The sequence below is a fragment of the Homo sapiens genome, chromosome 7 (genome assembly GCF_000001405.40).
Source record: "Homo sapiens chromosome 7, GRCh38.p14 Primary Assembly".
Taxonomy (NCBI): Eukaryota; Metazoa; Chordata; class Mammalia; order Primates; family Hominidae; genus Homo; species Homo sapiens.
In genome coordinates this window covers 122,040,670-122,065,227 of record NC_000007.14, presented here as the reverse complement: position 1 = coordinate 122,065,227, position 24,558 = coordinate 122,040,670, and the positions used below count along the sequence as shown (strand labels likewise).

The following is a 24,558-nucleotide window of genomic DNA, read 5'->3' as shown; positions in this document are numbered from 1 at the left end:
GAGAGACAGGCTGACATTCTGCTGGTGCGGATGACTCAGTCTCTTCTGATGGTTACTGCTAAATATTTTGAATCTCCTTCGTGAGAGGAGGGAATGCCACTTCAGACAGGCTGATCAGAGAATGCTTCTCTGAGGAGATATTTGAGCAGAGACCTGAACCCATGAGTGGAACAATAGGACTCTAATACCCTGCCAGTGGAGGTCTCAACAGCCTAACTCTTTTGGAAAGTGAAAGAGTAGTAAGGTAAAAATGTTCATACTATCTGCTCCCCCAAATAACACAACAATTGGTCCTGAGGAATAATCCTAAACCTGATGAAAAGCTTTTCTGCACAAATAAATGTTTATCATTGTATTGTAATAGGAAGGATTCGAAAGAGCCAATATTAGGGGCCGGGCGCGGTGGCTCATGCCTGTAATCCCAGCACTTTGGGAGGCTGAGGCAGGCAGATCACGATATCAAGAGATCAAGACCATCCTGGCCAACATGGTGAAACCCCATCTCTACTAAAAATACAAAAATTAGCCGGGCATGGTGGCCCGCGCACCTGTTGTCCCAGCTACTCGGGAGGCTGAGGCAGGAGAATGGCATGAACCCGGGAGGCGGAGGTTGCAGTGAGCTGAGATTGCACAACTGCACTCCAGCCTGGCAACACAGTGAAACTCCGTCTCCCAAAAAAAAAAAAAAAAAAAAGAAAAAAACAACAAAACAAAACAAAAAACAACAACAACAAAAAAACAAACAACAACAAAAAACCAATATTAGGAAAATGATTATAAGACCCATAGTGTAAGAACAGGGTTTCTCTGTCTTGGCACTATTGACATTGTGTTCTGGGTGATTCTTTGTTGTGAGGACTGTCCTATGCATTGTTGAATGTTTGGTGGCATCTCTGGCTTCTACCCAGTAGTTGCCAGTAGCACCCCTCACCCTCTGGCCAGTTGTAATCATCAAAAATATCTCCAGACATTGCCAGACAGTGTCAAATGTCCCCTTCTTTGAAACTGCTATACTGAATGAAATATTATATAGCCTTGGCAAAGGTAGGCTTATAGATTATGTGTAATAAAAAATGCCTATATCACTATAAAAAGAAGCATAAAAACATATTCACAATGAGAACACAATTATAAAAATAAAACAATATATGGAAAAAAGCTGTGAGTGTGTTAAACACAAGGAATGAAATTTTGGTGTTGGATGGAAAAATCGAGTGATACTTACCTGACCGACTTACCTGGCTTCATTTATTTTCATTTGTCTCATAGCTGATTATTGCCTCAGAGTTAAGGATCAAGGAAAGAGAAAATGTTGCTGTATCTGACAGGAATTTTCTTTTTAATCTGTTTCAGAATATATTTATTAACATTTATATAAGAATGCATAACTGATATGATATACATGTTACTGCATAATTATTTTCTGTTGGACAAGACTCTGTAAGTCACATTACTAAATAAATAACCTTAAAGGGTAAAAAAATTCTGTATCTCCTCAAAGGCTGCTTGTTCCTGGGACAAAGGCTAAGGGAAAAATAGACAAAATAATTGAGGTGATATGTATTACTGATTCAGATCAGCTCATGATTAGACATTGTGGGTGGTGATAAAACAAAACTGTAAAACAAGAGGACAAGGAGATAAGGTTAGAAAAGCAACAAAGGAATTCAAAATTAACCTTGTGTCCTTCCTCTCTGGGAGGAGAAATAAGAAGTACATTAATTCTTTTTGTACCTTGTAGAGTGGTGCTTATCACCATTTGGGGATTTGTCACACTACTATTTATGAGATTTTTTTGTGTGTGCCTATTTCTATTTCATATCTCCCATGACTATTGCTTTAAAAGAAAAGCTCCCATAAAAAGGAAAGCTAATTAATTTTAGCTCTATTTTAAAGACATTGTGAAAATTTCTTGATATTGCTTGAGGTAACTGGAGGCTCCCTGAAGTGTTGTTGCTATAGAGCAATGGTTCTGAAACTTTAGCATTCATTAGATTGTTGGGCCCTAGCCCCCAGAGTTTCTGACAGATGGGAATCTGAGAATTCCATTTCTAACAAGTTCCCTGATTTTGTCCATGCTACAAATCTGGGAATCATATTTTGAGAGCCACTGGTTTAAACAAAACTTCTCTAGCTTCCTGTTCTGGGCCCTGAGCTGAGCATTCTTAGGGAACAGTGAGCTCCTTTGTAGGTAGTATTATAAAACACTCCTGGCAGAGGCAGGGGACTGCTGCAAGCATCAAAGTCTGCTTGATACTAATGATTCCATTTTCCTGAATTTCAGTTCCATGTGGCTCTTGGATCTTGATGATTTGCTCAACATGGGACCTCTTCTCTTTTTCCATTCTGGAATTTTTTTTTACCTCGTAGTCCTTGTCTGTCTATGCCTTTTCCAATCCCCTCCTTGACCTTTGCTTATATTGGAGTCTCTGACTAGCAAATCTGCCTACTTCTAACTTCCAGCTAGTTTCTAAATCGGAAGTTCCCAACATTTCTTGGTACATGATGCTCTTAATTCATCAGTAACATTTTCAGAATTCTGTGTCTTGGTCCATTCAGACTGCTGTAACAAAATACCATAAATATGGTGGCTTATAAACAAACATAGATTTATTTCTCACACTTCTGGAGGCTAAGTTCCGAGATCAAGGTGCCCGCAGATTCGATGTCTGGTGAAGGCTTGCTTTCTTATAGACAGCTGTCTTCTCATCATAATCTCACACATCGAAAGGGGTGAGGGGTCTCGCTCAGGCCTCTTTTATAAGGACACTAATCTCATTTATGAGAGCTCTGCCCTTATGAACTAATCACCTCCCAAAGGTCCTACTTCCTAATATTATCACCTTGAGGGTGAGGGGATAAATTGTCGGGAGACATAAACATTCAGATCATAGCACTCCCCAAGCCAAAAGAAATACATAATTGTTCTGTTCATTAAGTAGTAAAGTTCAAATAATTTAATAGTAAAAGTTTGTGCAGTGTCTGCACATGTTGCTGTGTTTTCCTCACAAATGGAAAGTTTTGTACTTCCCTGTGCACCTCAATGCACAGTTTGGGACCCACCACTCTAAATCCTGTCCCATCCTACTAGCTGTTTTTTGTGTGTGTGTGTGCCATCATCATAGGGGGACCCACATCCACAATTTTCTGCCACACACGCTTCAGCACAATGCTCCACAAGCAAACACAAATTAATGGCAATATTTATATTTATTTTTGCAATTCCTTGGATAAAAACCATTTGAACAATGTTTGGTAAGGTGTTATTCTCATAAAAACTTCTTTCAAAATGAAGGTATTTCTATTTTCCACAAAAGTTAAAATTACATGCTGAAACAAAGTTAATGACTTAGGTAACACAATACAATGTCAGAAAACTGGTAGAGTAAGACCAGCTAATGAACTACGTCATTAAACTAAACAATTACACAGAACTAGAAAACTTGACTCAGTAGTAAAATATAAAAATCTACAATTATAAATATAAATTTGGTCCATGGAGACACTAGGGCAGTATTTACAATAAGTAACAGATTATTTCTACTTTAGGTGAATACTGCAGTTGTAAAATGTTGAATATCATATGGAAGAGTGTTTTATTTACAGGCTACTGTATTAAAAGTTATATTTCTAGCAAACCTGATAATTGCTACAAATACAGCTAAAAATTTGACACTAAAAACAAACATTTTCTGTAGTTTGGAATTCCTAACCTCTATAAATTGAAATTTTCTGTTAAAATCAATACAGAAAAAAATACCACAATTCCATTCTTAGAAATACTGTAAAATTCAATCATTTTAGTTCAAACATAATAAGTAAATTACAAGTCTTGCAAAAAGGCACACATTGTTAATGATATAAATTTGGCGGCAGAATCCTATGTCATGAAAGTTACTGTCAGGTGATGGGAAATCAACAGATAACAGAACTAGACTGATTTTCCTGCCTAATTTTAGGAAGAGGAAAACAATGCTCAGATGTGAGTTCCCCCACCCCTTTCTGTGTTAAACTAAAGACTCTAAGCTCTCAGCTATATTTCCATCAGGCAATGCTGCACCATTACTGTCCAGAGAGGTGGATGGATTCTCTTCCTGCCTTGTGCTCACAAGGCTGAGGATCACTTTGTAGAGAAACTGATACTGCTCCTAGAGAACAGAAGATGGGAGGTAATAAATGCGAAGCTCAGTGAAGACATACATTTGTAAAAAGAAGAAATATTTTTAGACACACTTCAGCACTGTTCATGAAAGGGCAATGTGTTAAGGGCACTGTTATACTCAGCAGATGCACACAACCTATACTGATGTCTCTTCTGATTAAATTAACGTTGCAATCGGCAGACCATTCACTGACCTAGAAAATTAACCTACATACATTTGCCAATAAGTACTTAATTCTTATTCATGAAATCAGAAGGTGATGAGACAGGGTTCTGTTAACTTGTGGGCGAAACCGTTTGGCACTGGACATCTGTAACTCACTCAGAAACAAGTTTCTTCTTTCTCTACTTGTTAGAAAATCCATTGGGTCTGCCTCTTTACGGAAAGATCTCAGGAATGACTGTACTGTTAGCCCAGGAACCCATGTAGAATGCAATCCTTCACTGTTCACCAATAAGAAGAATTTCACATTCTATCAGCCCAACTGGTCCTATGCCCTGCTATGAGCAAAGGTAAGTACCTTCTCTGCTGTGGTCTCAGAGCAGTGGCACATAGAAGCATGAAACAGTTTTTCTCTTACAGATGCCATCTCAGGCAGTTTGGGGAGAGGTAGCTACAGAGAACCTGAACCAGTGAGCAGCATCATAGCCGAAAACCATGAGGCCTACATGTGACGCAGTGCATAATTAAATGCTTTCGCGAACTGTGCATCTCCAGAAAGGAGTTTCATGCAGCACAAGCTTGATACAACTCAGCGGCCCCGAATAAGACTTATTAGGGGCTCCTCTGCAGTGCATGTGCATGAAGATAACTTTGACCTCCTGCCAACTGGTCTAGGCTGGAGCTTTGAAGAAGGTCCCTTTATAAGGCCCTTAAACAGACCAAAGAGCTGAAGGTGAGCCTATGACTTCTACATTCACCTAAGCTTATTTGCATTGTTTACTATTGTGCACAAAGGCAAACATGAGATTTAAAAGTTTTTATCCATAAATTTTCTGAAGTATAAATTTTAAATGTTGTTGTTCTATGGATTGTGGACTTGTAATTCAGCTTGAAAACTACATACTAATGTTATCAGTTAATAAGATCTTTCTTGATACATAAGATTTCAGCAGCCTCTAGGAAGTTAGTTGTACTCTATCAGTGAAAAATTTCGTTCACTGCCTTGTTACTTACAATGTCAGCAAAGACTCCTGGCCTCATCAGATTGATCATCTTGGCTACCTGGTAAACATCCACGGAATTTTCTTTTTCTAGTTGGTGCATAAGGGTTGTCAGAGCACAGAAAGTTCCTGCCGTCACTCCTCCATGCCTTGTAAAAAAAAAAAAGAAAAGGAACAAAGACTCCATTGAGATGCACCACTCACATTTAGAACTCACAAAGCATATAGCCTTGACAACTTTGCAGTGAAAACACTGAAACTTTTAATGAATTGTCTCTCTTCGCTTTTTGCACAAAGAACTATGATTTAATCTGAAATATTGCCAAGTGTTCATGATATCAATAGTGGAATACTTTACAGAAGTTTAGTATTTGCTTATGGTTTATTATTTGTATACTATGAAAGGAGTTGGCAATAATAAAAAAAACCTGAGAGTATCATATAAAGACATGTATAATACACATATAATATAATGTATAAATACATATATAACAAACTGTATTTTATATATTTATAACATAAGTTCAGCATATGCATTTTTTATTTGTCTATGATGGAATCCTAGGAAGATTTATTGGATGGTTTCTTGTTCCTGAAAAATAAAAATCATATCAATTTCACTTCTATGCCAGGAAATCAATGACTGAAAATGCCTCTCTGGTTGGCTCCTGAAAATTTCACTGCTAAAACACCGACTTAGTATACAAAGTGTTCTCAGCATCAAATGCAAGAGAAGATATTTGTGATCATGACCCCATTCTCTGTCTTCAACAGGGACTTCAAGTGAAGTAAAAAAAAAAAAAATGTTCTGTGTTAACTTTATTGATAAGATGCAGATAATCCACCATGGCTGAATCATCACAGTGGGTCCAAAGCATTAGGTTTGTCTGAAGACAACAGAAATATACATATGCCCAGAAAATGTGCAGGTGTGAAACCATCTAACACATGGAACTTACTCATCATGAACAATCATAGGCCCATCCCTATTGGCAGCTTCTTCTTTTATAACACTTATAAGTTCAAAAGTTTTACTAATGGGGCTATCTGGATTTGGCCATTTAGGACACTGAAAGTGCCTCACTTCAAGTACATAATCATCCTATAACAAGAAAACACAAAGTAATGTTAGTTAGTGACAGTTTACCAGGAGTGGAATCATTGAGGAAAATCAGGAATTACAGTAAGGTAATAAAACCCAATGGCAGGCATGAGTGAGCAGCAGTAGTTGCAGCACATTCTTCATCATAGAAGGAAGAAACAGTTGTGATGCCACATTTAACATGCATAGATTTACTAGTAGAATCAAAAAACATAATTTCTTTTTTTATTCTAAAAATAAACTCTATCTGTGGGTGAAATATGCCAATGCTTACAAACCATGAAACTATGTATCAAAGATGTATTTGCACGGCTAAATTCAAATTTATAAAAGGAAATCATTGGTGTTAAAATCTGTTTTGAAAATAGCATACACTTTCTTCACTTATCAGTAATCCTCAGGCTTAAGTAAAAGATTGCATGACACAGTGGAGAAAACGCCGACAAGGAGGTAGAGATCTAGGTTCAACTCGGATCCCAATTCTGATTCTTACTTAAGTGACCAACAAGACTGTGACTTGATAAATCCCTTAAACTTCTCGCCTCCAGCTTCCAAAAGTGTACTTTTTTAAAAAAATGATACCTTTTTTAAAAACAAGTAGCAGAACCTAAATTTTACATAAAAGTGCAAAGGGCCAAAATAGCCAAGATACTGGTAAATAAGAAAAACAATAGAGGAAATTAACTCATCAGATATCAAGAATTACTCTAAGCTATAAGAAGTAAAACACTGCCATTGTGGCTGAGGGATGAACAAAGTGACCAATGGAATAAAATAAATGTCCTAGAACAAGCACACATATATATATGTATATATATATGTATATATATACACACACACACACACACACACTATATGAATGACTGAACTGATATTGCTAATTCATAAATAATGGTGGGACAATGGGTATCACATGGAAAATAATGAAACCGAACCCTTGTCTCACAAAATATAATACAAAAAGTCAATTTCAGGTGGTACGTTTGGAAAACAGTGTAAGAGAGCATCTTCATGATTTCAGGGTAAAAGGTATTTTTTTAAGATACTAAATGATGGTTTCCTTTTAAAGGCCAGGAATAAAAAGATCAATACATTCATATAGATTAAACTTCAAAACTTTTCTTTCACAAAAAAAAAGACAAAAAAAAAAAAAAGAATCACAAAGAAAGTAAAAAATTCAAATCCCAAACTGGGAGAAAGTATTTGCAATATATGCAGCTGACAAAGGATTAGTATCCACAATACGAGACCTCTGATAAATCAGTAAATGATAAATAACCTAACAGAAAAATGGGCAAAAATCATGAACAGACACAGTACAAAAGATAAAATCTGAATGGTCAATTAATTTATATAAAAATATGTTTATGTAAAAATAATATGTATAAAACATATTGTATGTAAAAATATTATTTATGTAAATAATTATGTAAAAATGTAAAGTTATGTTGAAAACTTCATTTTCAACAAGAGAAATGCAAATTAAAACCAACAAGAGATGCCGTTTCATTCCCAGCACAAGCACTGATGAGGATGTAGTGCACTCATACATTCCTGATGAGAGGATACCTTTGTAGGATGACTTTGGAAAACAATTGAATTCATTTAGTAAAGTTAAAGAAAGTTGAAGATGATCCAACACAATAACACAGCAGGGGAATTCCCAGGATATCCCCAAGAGGAAATTTTGCATGTGACTAAAAATATTCATATCAGCACTGTTCGTAATAGCAACATCAAACCAAGACAAAACACAACAAACAAGTAATAATTTGCATGTAAAATAGAAAAAAGGATATGTATTATCTGGAATGCTAAGCAGCAGCAGTAAATGAATTTGAACTATACCCAAATACATAGATAAATCTGAGTAGCATAATACACATAATTTATATAAAGTTCACAGATATTTAAAAGTAAGCAGCACGCGTGTGAAGGAAAACAAAGACAAGGGTTAACTGATAAAATAAGTCAAGAGAACAATAAACACTAATTCAGGAAGAGGCTACTTCTGAAGTGAGGAGAGGATGAAGGGGATAGGGAGCAAATGAAAGACTTGATGGTCAAGGCCATGTTCTATTTCTTAAAGTCAATGGTGGGTAAAAGTAATTTAACATAATTGTCAAACCTTGCACATATAATATAAACATCTTAAATATATTCAATATTTAATAAATTCTTAAAAATAGTCCTCATAACAAATACATAAATAAAAGGCCCCTAGCTTTTGAGCTCAGTAGCATAGACCTTCACTTGTCTACTAACCTCAAATGTGATATTTGGTTAAAGTGCCTAAAAATGTCTGAAGTTAATGAAACTGTCCAGTTTAGTCTTTCCTTCTTTTTTGATCTTTGTTATAGAAATACTGTTTATCCCTGGGTTGGGCTCCTGGATTATCAAGTTGTCCATAATAGCTGATTTACATAGATGAGACATACTGAATTAGGATCAATCAGGAACCTGTATTATCTAGTTTATTTTCTGAATAATACTAGGAGAAAAACAGTGCTAATTTCCCAGTGCTGAGCAAGATATTAAACATGATCAGTGATCAGGATAATGGGTGTGACAAGATAATAGGTATATAATGATTATTACTCTTGTAATAGGCTTTCTTACTAACTAGGAATAATGAGAAGGCATGAGAGATGGCAGATCTAAATGGATGCTACTAAAGTGATCAGGGAGTAATCAGAGATAGAAATTAGCATGGAACATTAAGAGCTCTCAGGGACCTTACGAGCCTTCTAGTTTCTGCCCTTCATTTTACAAATAAAGACCTAAGTCTTTTTTGTTTTAATGAGATAGGATACTATTCCACTGCTATGCTGTTTACACTATTAGTTATTTGTATTATCAAGTTTATATGTATTGGTCATTTAAATATTCTAGAGGATAGAGAATCTTCTTGTATACCATATATGTACTAGTTTTCAGAACTAGAGAAAAGTGAAACATTCAAATTATTTGGAACATGATTTAATCTTTGTCATATTGAGAAGGTACTCTGAATCTCACATTCCTTAGACATCATTGTTAGTATCTTTTAGTATTTTACTATAGTTCTATGTAAATAATCATTGACAAATAATTCAATAATAGATATTTGCATATAATTAAGTTTAGTAAAACAATGTATTATCTTGTAGATAACAACAGTATCTTGTGTAATAGATAACCAAGACTTTAGTAAAATATTCTTAGTTTATTGTCCTGTGTGTTTTCAAAGCACTTCATTTATCAACTTACTACATCACTATCACTCATCAACTTTCTACATTGGTAGAGAATAGTAAGTTTCGGTAGGTAGTATTTTTCCCATTTTACTTAGGAGAGTTTAGGTAGGTAGTATTTTTCCCATTTTACTTACAAGGTAAGGGATTACATTAAAACATGAGAATTAAAATTAATAAATTTATTCTTTTACTGTGTTTATTTTTCACCTAAGTTCTGTCAACCACTAATCTGGAGTAAATGAGCTTTGATTTCCTGTGTGTGTAAAATTCAGGAATGACGTAGTGATGACTAATTGTTTAATGATTCTATATCATTTTGAAAATGAAAGTGACAAGGTAATTTGATTATTTGTGTATTTGTCTCAATGGGGAAAAAATCAGAATCATGCTTTTCATTTCTAGGACAGATCCTTAGGTCAGAATATGTTTAACATGTGTTTAAGATAAAAAGTTTGTCATTTAACTTATATCCTTACCTGTGTAGCTTCTAAGATAAAGTCCTGAATTATAAGTTTTTCCTCATTAGATAGACATTTGTGTTCTTCAGCCATAAGAGTGACCTTAAAGCTCTCACAATTTATAGGCTCATCTTTATTTGGCCAGTAAACAAATTCATCTTCTGCCTGCAGAATTGCAAATGAAAGAAGAGTCTAGATTTTAATAAAATGACCAATAAGTCAGATTGTGAAATAAAGTTAATTGGTTGGCACAGAAATTTCAACTCCAATTTTTCTTTGAATCTGAATATTTACTCTTAACATCTTTCTCGTGCCTTCAACTAGATTGATGTGCTGAATAAAATATCACACTTAGGAACCCAAACTATTGCTTTATTATTTTATGCTCTTAGCTTATCAACAATGATAAGCTTATTGCTTCTGTAATTGACAACTGAGTACAGAAGATTCAAGTGATTTTAAGAGCTCAGAAATTTCCAGCCTCATGTGTAATGGTCACACAATAACTTTATAGATAAGAACTGAATATCAAAGCTAAGTAAACATGTAAAGCCTAAATGAAATATTTATTTTACTTGTTGGGTTCTCCAAACATATATAAAGAGGGGGATGGGATATCGCTGCTTTTCTTATACTAAAAAAGTCCTTCCTATACTAGGAAATCACTTAATTCTAACTAGGTCTTTTTTTTAAAGAAAAAATTAGAGACCTCCTTAAACTCAGGGAATCTCTAAATATTCTAACACATTTTATTTTAAAAATGTAAATAGAAGCATATAGACTGATTTCTTTCATGGCTGTGATTCTAATTTTCTTAAGCAATGTCACAAAACACATACATTTAAGTTCATTTATATCTACTTTCATTTAAAACTTTTATTCATCACTTTGACCTAGGAGATTGTATAATGAAACCAAGCCCAACAGCAGAAGAGTATGCCTTCAATGACATTAGTTTATTAGTTGAAAACAAAATTACTTTGCTTGTTTGTATGCTGGACTTTTTGCTGTTTGTAACCTGATATTCCTCTGTAAAGGAAGTCCCAAAAGTGGTCTAAGGGACTTACCATGTTTTGGCCATCAGGAATCATAACCACCAGTTGGGCATTATGGTCCCATATCATCCTCCAGAAATCCTTGATGGTATGAAGGAGAGGGTGCTGGGTAATGATGAATTCATTGCTCTGGTAATAGCCCTACAAAACCAAAGAGAAGACAAAAACAGCACTGGCGTATGCCTTTAAACATTCAGATAAGCATTTATACATCAATGGACCTTAAGTCAAAATAGTCTTTTGAATTGCAGATTGTGTCTATATGTAGTAATATGATTATTATAGCCAATGCTTACTGGGCACTTTGTATGTTAGGTGTGACACTATGTGTTTTTTTTTCTCTTAAATCGTTTGTTCCTCACAGCAATACTGTGAGATAGGAACTGTGACCCCCATTTTACAGATGATTAAACTGAGGCTTTAGAAATTAAGCATTGTGCCCAAGTTTGCCTTAAGAAGTCAGATGTAGTATTCAAGGTTACCTATCATCTTGTAGTGAATGTTTATGATTTTTATGTTGCCTTGGCATTCCTTTTAAATATAAGTTGGACTTTGTCATGCCAGAAGCAGGGTTCAGTCACCTTGATACAGTTTCCAGTTCTACATCGTCCCATCCACCAGTTCCTTAAAGTGATCGATCCAGTTGTCTAACTTACAAAACTGCTCCATAGTGACCATTTCACTACAGAACAGCCTGCTTGGCTGGCCTCGCTGACCCTCACACCTACATGGACTTTGCAGATATGCCATAGTAAATACCTCTCAGTCACTACATAACCTCCTGGGACTTGTGCCTGCTTGCTTTAAACTCATCAAGTAAAACTCCCCATGGAAAACCTACTTGGATAATGCCCTGGACTCAGTGGGGGCATTGGTCCATGGGTCCTTTTCTCTCTTTCCCTGCTTGCTCTGCCTAAGCTCTATGCATGTGGCCTCCAGTGCCATGAACCCTTCAGGGTCCATAAATACTAAAAACTCTGAATTTTCACACTGTGGTTTTTCATTGAAGACTTTAGGTGAGACTGCTCAATGGAACCCATGCAGGTGAATCCCTTATTGGTGCTCTTTCATCTGGGCATCTGGTGGTCACTGAGAATGGTAGCTATCAGCTAAGCTGATAGAGAAACTTGAACAGTTTCATTAAAAACACACCTCTAGCTGTAGACTTACCAAACTGCTTTGTGGATACTGTCTCTTACTCCACAGAGAGTGGGAAATCTACAGGAGAGTTTACATTTCCCACTTTGGTGTCCAGACACCTTGGTTGCCTCTACAAGAGAGGAACCAGGGAGACATCTTGCATATTTTGCTACAGATACCTAGAAGCTAGAGCTATTGTATTAACTGTGATATTTATACTGTTACTAAAGTCCTGGCTCTTCTAGCCCCTTCTGCTTTCAGATCCCATTCCTATCACCCAGTGGCTCATTTGAAATGTGAATGTATTTAGATGCCACTACCACACATCCCTGTGTTTCCTGCATAGATATTCCTTAATATTTTCTTTGCTGGATAAATAGAACAGAGGTTTTGGAATAAGAATTAGGTTTTCATCAGAAGCCAAGCTCCGTGATTGATTGACCTTAAATGTTAATGAAGGTCACACAACAGCTACTAAAACACTCATCCCTCACACAAAAGATGTAAATGCAGAAGAAAAGCATTGTATCTTTAGAAATCCAGGTCCTAAAATGAGCCCAGTTTGCAGGCTAAAAATCATGCTGCAAACCTGAAGTAGTGATGTCAGTGAGGTTAGGCTTTGCTGAAGCCAGTGAATCCCGGGTTTGCTCAGGGGTTCTGCCTTAGTGAAGGAAATAAAGCCTTTTAGATAAGCAGGTATAAGTTTTATATCTACTCATCAGCCCTAAATGGTGAGTTTGTGTTCCTGCATCTGCTAATTGGTCTTGCTTGAGGTTTCTTCAGTCCCAGCACACATAAAAGCATGCCATTATTACAACTGTTGCTGTGGACTGTGGGCTTGCAGTCAACAGATTTAACTTAAATTTACCACTCATTTGCCCATGCCTGTAGTCTTTGCTTCTGGCAGCCCATTCTGGTTTTGATCCCTGTAACACAAGCTGGCAGTCTCCTCAGTGACTTCTCTGACTTACCATGATATAGGAGGCATTGATGTAGTCTGTGCCTTCTCCACTCAGGGATGAAATGCCAACCCTTGATCTTTCCACTGGAACACAGAACATTCATTGTAAAACAAAACAAAACAAAACAAAACAAAACAACTCATGCTCACAGCACTGTACCATCTTTTCCCCATGCCAGATGTAAAATATAGCTACATTTTTCAAGTTGAAGTGTCTCTGATCTGTAAGCTAATTTTTCTATACATTTTGCATATTTAGATAAGACTTCAAGGATTTATGAGTCCTTTGGAACAGTTACATATTGGACAAAATTAAAAATATTTGAATGTGCTCCATTTGCTCCAAAGGTATACAAATATTGCCAAATTTCCTACAAGGCTTTTATTATTTTAAAAAAGTTGTTTTTTCAAGGATCAACACAACTTACCAGGGATGATAGAAGAAGTTCGATTCTTTTCCCTGTTGCATTGCTTTAGGGCTGCAGAATAGTCACTCTGCTGTATATTTGACTGGCTCAGGAGCTGGGCAAGAAAGTAAAAAAATATATAGGTTATTTCATTTAAGTCCCCCAAATACACACACACACACATACATACAGACACACACACACACACCAATCAAGATAAGATACTGACTAAAAATATATATGAAATGTTTTCCAACAATTCCTTGAATTTAACCTTGTTTTAGTGAACTTCCTGGAGCTTCTGTGTTTTACACCAGGGGAGTTACAAGAAGCAAAGAAATCTCTAGTAATTCTTTTAGCATTGAGATAATCTTCCTCACGGCTTCCACTATAGATGTGCAACCTCCATTTCCTCTATTTAAATCTCACACAGACGTTTGGAGGTAAATTACATCGTGTGTGTGTATATACATATATATGTATATAATTCAATTTTATTTATTCCTTCTGTTACTACTCCATTACATGAATAATCTACATTCTGTTTATCTACTCCTCAGCTAGTGAATATTTGGGTATTTGCAGTGTTTTGCAATTGTATAGCTTTATAGATATGAGCATCTCCTGTATGTCTCTTAATGTGCACATGTGTGACGGTTTCCATAGAGCATTAGGAGTATTCAGTTATTCAGTGTTTTATTTTTGACAGTCGGGTAAATGAAAAATAGTATATCATGGTTTTGATTTGCATCGTCTTAATTTCTGTGAAATTGTGAATTTTGGTGCTCATTAGTCATTAAGATATCTTCTTTGATGATTGCCTTTTCATATTTTTACTTCATTTCCACTTATTAATTTGTAGGGGGTTCTTGCTGTCTTGAATGTAAATCTATAGTGTGTAAAAAGTTGGAAACATCTTCAGTTTCTTTAATCACACAGAGATTTACAGCCAATTTATTTTTCTTATTTAAGTTTTCTGCAAATTATCATTTTACGTAAGAAGTCCTTCTCTATCCTGAAGTTATTAAGAAATACTTTCCAATATATGCCCTGCTGTGCATTTTCCTCCCCTCCCCTCCTCTCCTTTTCCCTCCCCTCTCCTCCCCTTCAATTCTTTTTTGAGACAGGTGTCCACTCTGTCACCCAGGCTGGAGTGCATGCAGCTTCAATCTCCTGTGCTCATGAGTTCCTCCTGCCTCAGCCTCCCGAGTGGCTGGCACTACAGGCATGCACCACCACACCTGGCTAATTTTGGTATTTTTTATAGAGAAGGGGTTTCACCATATTACCCAGGCTGGTCTCGAACTCCTGGGCTCAAGCAATCCCCCTGCCTTGGCCTCCCAAAGTATTGGGATTACTGGTGTGAGCTACTGTGCCCAACCCAATATTTTCTTTTCTAAAATGATCTTACAATAGTTATAAAGGTTTGCTTTCACCTTTAGGTAGTTAATCCATCTTGAATACATTTTAGTGTTTGAGGAGTGGTAGAGATACAATGTTACTTTTTTTGACATGAAAATTTTCCCAATGTTATTTATAGATTAATCTGCTGTTTCTTCACTGATACGTAATGTTAACTCTACCACATAACAGATTTCCTCAAATGCATCATTCCTCTGCTAGATTCCTCCGTTTTCCAATACTATTATATCACATCATAAGTCTTCCATATACAGTACAACAGAATTCTTCTATTATTATTTCCTTTTCAGTATAGGTGAGATATTTTGGCTGTTTAATTTTCCATGCTAAATTAAAATCTGTTCTACATTTTCCATGAAAAATCCTGCCATAAATTCGATTGATACTGCATTGACTTCTATAGTCAATGTAAGGAGAAGCAATATCTTAATATTTCCATGTATCAACATTATATTTTATTTGGGCCTAATTTTATGCTCTTCAATTCACTTTTATAAATTTCTCTATATTTACTGCACATTTTGTTAAGTGTCTTTTTTGAGATGATGAAGTTTTTGCTACTGTTTTGTTATTGTTTTTGTTAATGATTGGGTTCTTTTTTGTTCTAAAACATTTTCTAATCACTCAAAGCTAACAAATAACAATGCTATTGATTTTTATGTATGTTTATTAAACTCTAACTAAAGAAAATTATTTTCTCTTTTGCTTCTCTTGATATTCTTTGCAGGTAGTTATATTATCTATCTGCAAATCCTTTTCTACCTTTATACATCTATCTAGTTTAATTCTATTTCCAGAATAATGTTGAATAGCAGGGCCAATAATTGACATTCCTTATCTTTTCTGGAATCTACTATGAGCATTTCCAATTTTAATTTTTATGTATGATGTTTATTGTAGTTTTATGACAGATACTTTCTAGAAGGCTAAGAAAGCTTTCTTCTATTTCTGGTTTACTAAGAGTTCTTTTTTTAAATGAACAATATAGAATTTGATTGACTACTTTTCCTGTATTAATTGACAGGGTCATAATGTTTCTTTATGTAAATCTATTCATATTTTCCAGTGTTAAACCATCATTTCATTTTTGGAATAAACCCTATAAACTCTACTTGCTCATGATATTAAAGAAATACACTGCTGGATTTGAGTTGCTGATATTTTAAATAAGATTATTGATACTGGCCTATAAGTGTCTTATTCTGTCTTTGTTCAGTTTTGGTATCAAAGTTATATTTGTCCAATAAAATAGCTGGGTTAGTTTTCCACCTGGATTTTTTATGCTAACATTTGGAATTTTCTGTGCCTTAAAAATTGGTAAAATGTGACATTAAATTATTTTGGGCCTGGTTATATTTTGAAGGTGGGATTTTAGGCAGCTGATTTGATTTCCTTAATGGCTATTGGCCTAGTTAAATTTTCTATATATTTTTAGTGTATTTTCATTATATTTTTCCTTTAAAAATTCTTTTTAGTTTTCATTTCTTTGGGTACATAAAAGGTGTAATATTTATGGAAAACATGAGCTATCTGATGCAGGCATACAATGCATAATAATCACAGGAGGGTAAATGGGGCATCCATCACCTCAAGCATTTAACCTTTCTTTGTGTTACAAACAATCCAATGATATGCTTTTAGTTATTTTAGAACATACAATAAATTATTCATTTCATATAGGTTTTCAAATGTATTGTCACAAATATATTCAAAGTATGCTTTTGTGTTTAAAAATGTTTCTAAATTATATCTCTTTTTTTAATCTCAATATTATTTACTCACATTCTTTCCTCCCTTCATCAATCTGGACACAGGTTTGTCTATTTTAATAGTCTTTTGATAGAACCTGCATTAGGTTTTGTTAAATCTTTATTTAATCATTTTAATTTTCTATTTAATTTTAAAAACTTTAAAAATGTTATGTAGTGCTTCTTTTGACCTTTAATTCTAAAGATTTTATAATTTCCTCTTAAATATGTATATTATTTAAAAGGGTATTTTTAATGCCCAAATATCAAAATTTTTATGGAAACCTTTCACTGTCAATTTCCAATTTTTACTGTATTATACTCTGAGAAAATGACTGATATGATATAGATTCCTTAAAATTATCTCCCTTTTCCCTCTGCATCTATTAACAGTTTTATTTTAGAGTATGTGTGCAATGGGCCAGGTGCAGTGGCTCATGGCTATAATTCCAGCACTTTGTGAGGCCACAGCAGGCAGATCGATTGAGCTCAGGAGTTCGAAACCATCTGGGCAACATGGCGAAACCCCATCTCTACAAAAAACATTTAAAAAATTAACCAGGCGTGGTTGTGTACACTTACTATAGTCCTAGCCACTCGGGAGGCTGAGGTAGGAGGATCAGTTAAGCCAGGGAGAGGAAGGTTGCAGTGAGCCGAGATTGTGCCTCTGCACTCCAGCCTGGGTGACAGAGTGAGACCCTGTCTCAGAGAAAAAAAAAAAAAAAGGAATATATGTAGCAACACACCACACACACACACTCACACACACCCACCTTCTCTTCACAGATAATAGAAACCGTAGAGTACTTCCTCAGCCTCCAGCCTTAGAGCCTATATGTGTACTACTGTAAACATGCACATAGGTTTTACTGATTTTGAACACTAATTCCTTTACCTGTGTCCTGAATCCCGCCTCTTTGTACCACCCAGGGTCTCTGTACTCTCCAATTATCTCCCTTCCCATTAGTTTTTAAAGAAGCTCTCATGTCTCATATTAAAACATAAGCAAAGAAACCCCAAATAAACAACCCCCAAATCTTACTAACTCAAAGTTTTCTTATAGTTATCTTAATCATTCTATCCAGAGTAAACAATTTTTAAGAGTTATATAATTGTCTTTAATTCCTCAAATCCATTTACTCCTTAACTCCCTGTAATCTGGTGTCAATGCTATACTTTTCAAATAGCTCTTAGACAAAGGTCATCAATGACTTCTGTCTAAATCCAACGGCCTCCTCCATTCCCAACATACTTGATTTGTCATTAGCACTTGCCATCTCTGTTCACTTCCTCTTTCAAGAAACATTATTTACTTTGGATCCTAGTATATTCCGCTGTCCCGAATTTTCTCCTACCTTCTGATGCCACTTTCCCCCCTTTCCTTTGTGGGCTGGCCATTCATAGGTTAATTAAAATGTTTTCTTAAGTAATCCTTTCTAACCTTTCTTAGACATTTCATTTTTAATTGGCTATTTTATCCAATTCCGAGGCTTCAAGGAACCATCTCTACGCTGATCACTCCCAAATCCATTTCTTCAGGCCAGACCTCTCTTATGCTTCAGAACCAGTATCCAACTGCCAAATATACATGTTTATTGGGACATCTCCCAGTAACCTAAAAATAAGGTAGATTTGGAAATATCTCACGTCTTCTCCCTCACCACACCTCTCAAGCATGTACCACCTCCTCTTCCTGAATTCTCGATCATGGTGAATGACATCACTACTTTCCCAGTGCCCAAACAGAATCTGAGTAGTTATGCTTGTGTCTTTTCTCTCCTCTCTCTCTGCAATGTCCAATGAATCACCAAATCCTGTGTTCAACTCTTAAATATATCTTACGCAATTCTCCTCTGGTAAGTTGCATCCTTACCTGTACTCCTACAGCATCCTGTTTTACCTCTATAATGGCATTTTTCACACTATTTTGTTTATCTGTTTCTTTCTTTCTTTTTTATTTTTTTAGAGACAAGGTCTCACTCTATCTCCCAGACTGGAGTGCAGTGGCACAATCATAGCTCACTGTAATCTTGAACTTCTGAGCTCAGGCAATTCTCTCACCTCAGCCTCTGAAGTAGCTAGGACTACAGGCTCATGCCACCCACCCAGCTAATTTTTTTATAGAGACAGGGTCTTGCTCTGTTGCCCAAGCTGGTCTCAAATTCTTGACCATGGTCCCCCAAAACAGAGGAATTACAGGTGTGACCCACTGCACCTGGCCTGTTTGTGTTTTCTTACCTGTATCTTCTAATAGACTGCAGGCACCATAAGACTAGGAGCTGGGTGTGCTTTATTTATTTATTTTACAAATTCTTGTTTGCGCCCTAATAACACAAAAGCCTGGCATCTGGCAGGTGTCTGATAAGTACTTGCTGAATACACAGATATTCAACTTATTTCAAGGAAATTTTCTACAGACAAACTCGAATAGATATCTTTTTATGGGATGGTACACACACATACACACAAATACATTTCCCTATTTATGATGTTAACAGGAAAGAGAGTAAAATATCTCTCTTTTCAATTGAATTCTGACCTTATAGTTAATATTTTCATTTTGATCCTGGATTATTTAGCTTACCATATCAATGTTTTTATGCAACTACACAGGGGCAAATCATATTTAAATGAGAGTTTTTTTGAAATGGGTAATATTGTGTGTGTGTGTGTGTGTGTGTGTGTGTGTAATTTATTTAGGGAAAAGATATCTTTACAACTTAATTACATTTTAACATTTCTTTATTATCTGAAAACCAACTGCATACTCTTTTCCCCCCTAAGGCATTCCTTTATGACTGAGATAAGCTTGGATGAGTAAAACATGTATGACTTTCTGACAACAGGTTCTAAACTCAGTATTGATCCCAATCTTTCTCTTACACCTCCAAAGGCACACCGTGCAGTAATTTAAAAGGCAAATGGCCCAAAGGAATTCATGGTGGCTAACATCCTATGCTGTAGACTGGGGAGCAAAGCAGGAGAAATAAGTGAAATCTCAACATTTGTTAACTCTCCTGGGTTTTTCTAAGGTCTTCCAAATTCTTCCCAGATATTCATTCTTCAAAATTTGGCCCTATTTCTCCAGGAACTCTGAGAAGCAAGCAGATAGCACAGGAACAATGTGGAGTGAAATAATATAGCCCCCATTCCTGTGGAAAGCTACGATTCTGCACATGCTTTGGTCTCAGCTGGCAGGTCCGGTAACACCTGCTTTCTGAATTCTTTGCCTACTGATTTCTGAAAGTCAGAGAGCTGGTATTGTGGGAAGTACAATATGGACAAAACATGCTCTTGTCTCTGGCTTATGGCCTTGAGACAGGGTGAGGGGGAGAAACTGGGGTTGAAGAAGCTATTATTCCAGTGTGTACTACTTTGGTCCAGGGGTTTCAAGTGAGACACAGATTTTTTCCAAAGAGTATCAGGAACAGCCTGAGCCACCGCACTCATGTTTAAGTGGTCTGTTTTTTTTTTTCAAAGTAAAAAGAGCACTTATATAGTATGTTTTACAAGTTCTTTCTGTTCATTCTGTTATGCTCTGTGCCCTTCTTTTCTCGACCAAGTTTGCATTTATAAAAGTTAGTTTAAGGTTTCTGAGAACTTTTCCTCTTGCTGCTCAGAATTATGTTTCTCCTTGAAATTTACCATGTGGCACTGTAGCCCACAGTAAGGAACAACGATGGCTCAAATACAAAGTCATTGTACCCATACTGCCCACTCAACGTGACCCTGTCAACTCAAATGAGAAGATGCAGGGACATTCAGTTCTGTAGTGACATCCAAGAGGCTTCCAAGAGGACTCACCTGGAATTGTTTCTCTAGCTTTGTTTTGCCTGCTGGTCCAGGAATGAGGAGTGCATTAACATAGGCATGAATATGACTGTCCAGCACCTCAGTTTCTTTACTAAGTATGGCCTCAACCAGTGTATCATGAATGAAGACATATTGCTCCTGGCAAAACAATGACAATAAGCAACATTAGTTCAAGTTTTCCTCATATGTATCTACCTACAAACATAGTACCTTCCATTGACAGACAAGGAGAGTTTTACAGAATGGGGGAAGACCCACACAAGATTGCTTACAAAACCTGGAAGGAAGTCAGACAGAGGAAAGGAAGTGGTCACAGAAGAAAGAACCTCTTCTCATTCCTTACCTCTTCATTTATTATGTATTGTTGGCAATACACAATAGGTTAGGAGGCAGGAAGAGTTGGCAAGGCAAAGGAATGTCCTCTCTGCCTATCCTTCAAACTTGACACCTCTATACTTCATGAGAGGGCTTTCTTGACTTCTACACTTCTGGTGGGCCTACCCCTTCTGGCAACGCCAACTCTCCTTTTCGCTTGTCATATACAATTTAACTCAATTTTATATATAGTTAATAGTTCTCTGATATTTCACATACGGGACTCTTTCTTGGTCTTATATGACCAGAATGTTATTTTTTAATGTTTATTTTAAGTTCAGGGGTACATGTGCAGGTTTGTTACACAGGTCAACTTGTGTCATGGGGGTTTGTTGTATAGACTATTTCATCACCCAGGTATTAAGGCTCATACCCATTAGTCCATTAGTTATTTTTCCTGATTCTCTCCCTCCTGCCATCCTCCACCCTCTGAAAGGCCCCAGTGTGTGTTGTTCCCCTCTATGTCTCCATGTGTTCTCATCATTTAGCTCCCACTTATAAGTGAGAACATGTGGTATTTGGTTTTCTGTTCCTGTGTAAGTTTGCTTAGGATAATGGATGGAAGGATGTTTGGTGTGGTTTCGTTTTGAAGCCCACTCAGCCATGTGTTTCTGATTGCTTTCAAGCTGCCATTCATAGGTTTCCATTTAAGTTCATTTTTATTTAGAAACAGTGAAGATAAAATGCAGATTTGCTGACACTGTTCTGTCACTTACGGGTAAACTATATGGGCTTAAAATGGATATAATTTAAGCATAATTCATATTTTTTTAAAAAATGAATTGATTCATCCACTATGTATATGAAGAACTTGAGATTTTTGCTAGCAAGGATGTGTGTGGACCACTCTACTTAGACTTTTGCTGTATCTTCTCTGTGACCAGTGTCATTTTAAAGGATATTCCCTATTTGGGGTCACAAAACAGATAAAATTTATCTGGCTCATTCATGACATAGCTGCAGTTACTGGTGTCATGGGTTGAATGGTGTCCCCCCACAAAGATATATTAAAGCTCTAACCGCCTGATAACTCAGAGTGTGATTTTATTTGCATAAAAGTTTGTTACAGATGTAATCAGTTAAGATGAGATCAACTGGAGGAGGAGGATAACTGGTATGCTTATAAGAGGAGGAAAATTTGGATACAGACACAGACACAGAGGGAAACAGCCAAGTGAAGACTGAGACTGGAATTGTGCTGCCACAAGCCACGCAATGCATGGGGCTACCAGGAGATGAAAGAGGCAAGGAAGAATCTTCTAGAGGCTTCTGGAAGGGCATGGGCCTACAGACATCAGAACTATGAGACAATAAACTTCTGTTGTTCTAACCCACCCAGTTTGTATTACTTTGTTTTGCAGTCCTAGGAGATGAATACACCTACATTTTAGTGACATTTCCATACCTTAGATGAATAAAATCATCTTTTTAAAAATCATACCTCAGTTTGTACCAAATAATTTCTTTGTGAACGGATGTGTTTTAAGAAGCCAAATATGTTGACAGTTCCTTCGTGTTGAATCTGCTGCAACATACTGTCTAGCACAATATATGTGCCTGTTCTTCCAACTCCAGCACTGAAGAGAAGACCAAGAAATAAATATTTCAATGTTAAGCATAAAATAAATTTGAAAAATAGATCACTACTGGTTGTCATGTTGATTAAAATAACTTCCTTCTTCAAGCGAGTGAGCCACACAATACATTTGGCAATTCAATATTGTAAACAGTTTAGTAATTAAGCGTAATGCTTTACACAACAAATTTAGAAGTACCCTTTCTAATGTTTTGTCATGTGTCTAATTGCAAAACAACCTCACTATATCTGTTGGAGATTTTAAAACTTTCAAAAACCATATTTATTATTCATTGTATATTGTACAATGAAAATATTATGTATCAGAGTGTGGCAAATAGACATTTAATCTGACAAAAGTGAAAGCTTTAACTTCACCAAATTCTGAAAAGAAAAAGTCCCTAGGTCTATGTTTCCAGGTAGACATGTTTGTAAAGATTTCTGCGTTAATGGGAAAAAGAATTTGATAAAGCTTTCTGCTGAAAATATCATTTCAGTGAGATTGTGAGGAATAAAGCATGACTTCAGTTATTTCTAAAGGGCCATTATCTATCGACTTCTTCAAAGCCTCTAGCAGAGGGACAGAATTCACGGACAGGGATTCTTTTCAAATGTTCCGACAAGTAGGAAGTGCTAGAGTGGAAAATTAGCACCTGCTCTGCACAATAGCCTGGTCCTTCTCCGTTTGCTAGGAAACAATCCCTGACCTTCAGCACTATTTTTCTTGCATCTTCCTGTTTTCCTCAGTTTATAATCAGGCTAACAGATTAAAAAGCCTCAAGATGGGTCTCTCAAATTTAACTCCTGAGATGGTAATTAGAATGTGTTAGATAAGCTATATATCAAAGGCAAACACTTGATTCTCTAAAAACACACTGCTTTGATAACAATACTTCACATAGAAACAAATTTGATTTTTGTGATCTAAGGCTTGGCACACAGTCAGCACTCAATAAATATTAACTGCTATTATTATTTTAACTGAAAACATTAAATAAGGATTTTCAACATTTTTCCTCTTTCATTGAAACATCATTATTTCTATTTATCAACCTAGTCTTGGAAATTAAAAAATCTTGGCAACAATGAATTGACAATACATTCAATGTAATGTATTAAAACTCAAGAAAATGAAAAAGGGATTCTGGTCCCAAAATGTTTAAAAACAACTTAAATATATTTTGCCAAATTTCTCACAATCTGTGTGCTTTGGCTTCTGTGATACAAGCCTGGCATAATAATTCTAAAACAGAATTTTAACTCCTAGGGACAGGGGTTGTAGCTCAAGCATTTTTATCCCATGGTATTATATGTTGAGGTAAATATTTGTTTAACAACAAAAACATTGTTCCACCTGCCTCAAATAGTTAATAAGCTGAAATGCAGTTGAACAATCAAATAAAATAATCAACATCAAAAAATATGTGGTGCTTAGAAATATTCAGCAATCCAATTCTGAGTCTGGCATGTTCATTTCCTAGTGATCAATACTTATGAAAATGAACATATAATTTCATCACCCTCATTTCAAGAAATCATTCCCATTTGGGCAAAAGCTTTGTTCCATTGATTTCCTTTTTGCAAGTATAAGCAATTCTATGGGTTTAGAGGCACATCTCTGAGACTCACCTGCAGTGGACGACAACAGGCCCCACTGCATGGCGCTTGGCATAGGCTGCCTTTCTCACAAAGGTCAGCACTGGCAGGGAGTACTCTGGTACTCCCATGTCAGGCCACTGCGTGTAGTGATACTGTGTGACCACACGTCCACTGGGTCTTCCTTTCTGGGAGCCCTGGAAAAGTTCAGACAGTTAATAACAGTCAAACACACACACACACACACACACACACACACACACACACACACACACACACACACGGTTCTTCAACAGCAAGTCAGGAATCATAGCTTGATTTGATGTTGAGGGTCCATAATGAA

General features: G+C 36.2%; 1 protein-coding gene across 5 annotated transcripts in view; it reads right to left on the bottom strand.

Moving 5' to 3' along the window:
• PTPRZ1 (protein tyrosine phosphatase receptor type Z1) overlaps positions 3,192 to 24,558 on the bottom strand; it is a 188,876-nt gene continuing 167,509 nt past the window's right edge. For all 5 annotated transcript variants that reach the window (NM_001369396.1, NM_002851.3, NM_001369395.1 and 2 more), the window contains 10 exons: positions 24,249 to 24,412; positions 22,485 to 22,620; positions 20,660 to 20,806; positions 13,707 to 13,800; positions 13,289 to 13,362; positions 11,190 to 11,318; positions 10,141 to 10,287; positions 6,286 to 6,428; positions 5,340 to 5,475; positions 3,192 to 4,148 (listed from right to left, as the gene is read on the bottom strand). In NM_001369396.1, the coding sequence (NP_001356325.1) occupies positions 4,008 to 4,148; positions 5,340 to 5,475; positions 6,286 to 6,428; positions 10,141 to 10,287; positions 11,190 to 11,318; positions 13,289 to 13,362; positions 13,707 to 13,800; positions 20,660 to 20,806; positions 22,485 to 22,620; positions 24,249 to 24,412 (1,311 nt within the window). In that variant the 3' untranslated portion in view covers positions 3,192 to 4,007. The remainder of the gene's footprint in view (positions 4,149 to 5,339; positions 5,476 to 6,285; positions 6,429 to 10,140; positions 10,288 to 11,189; positions 11,319 to 13,288; positions 13,363 to 13,706; positions 13,801 to 20,659; positions 20,807 to 22,484; positions 22,621 to 24,248; positions 24,413 to 24,558) is intronic.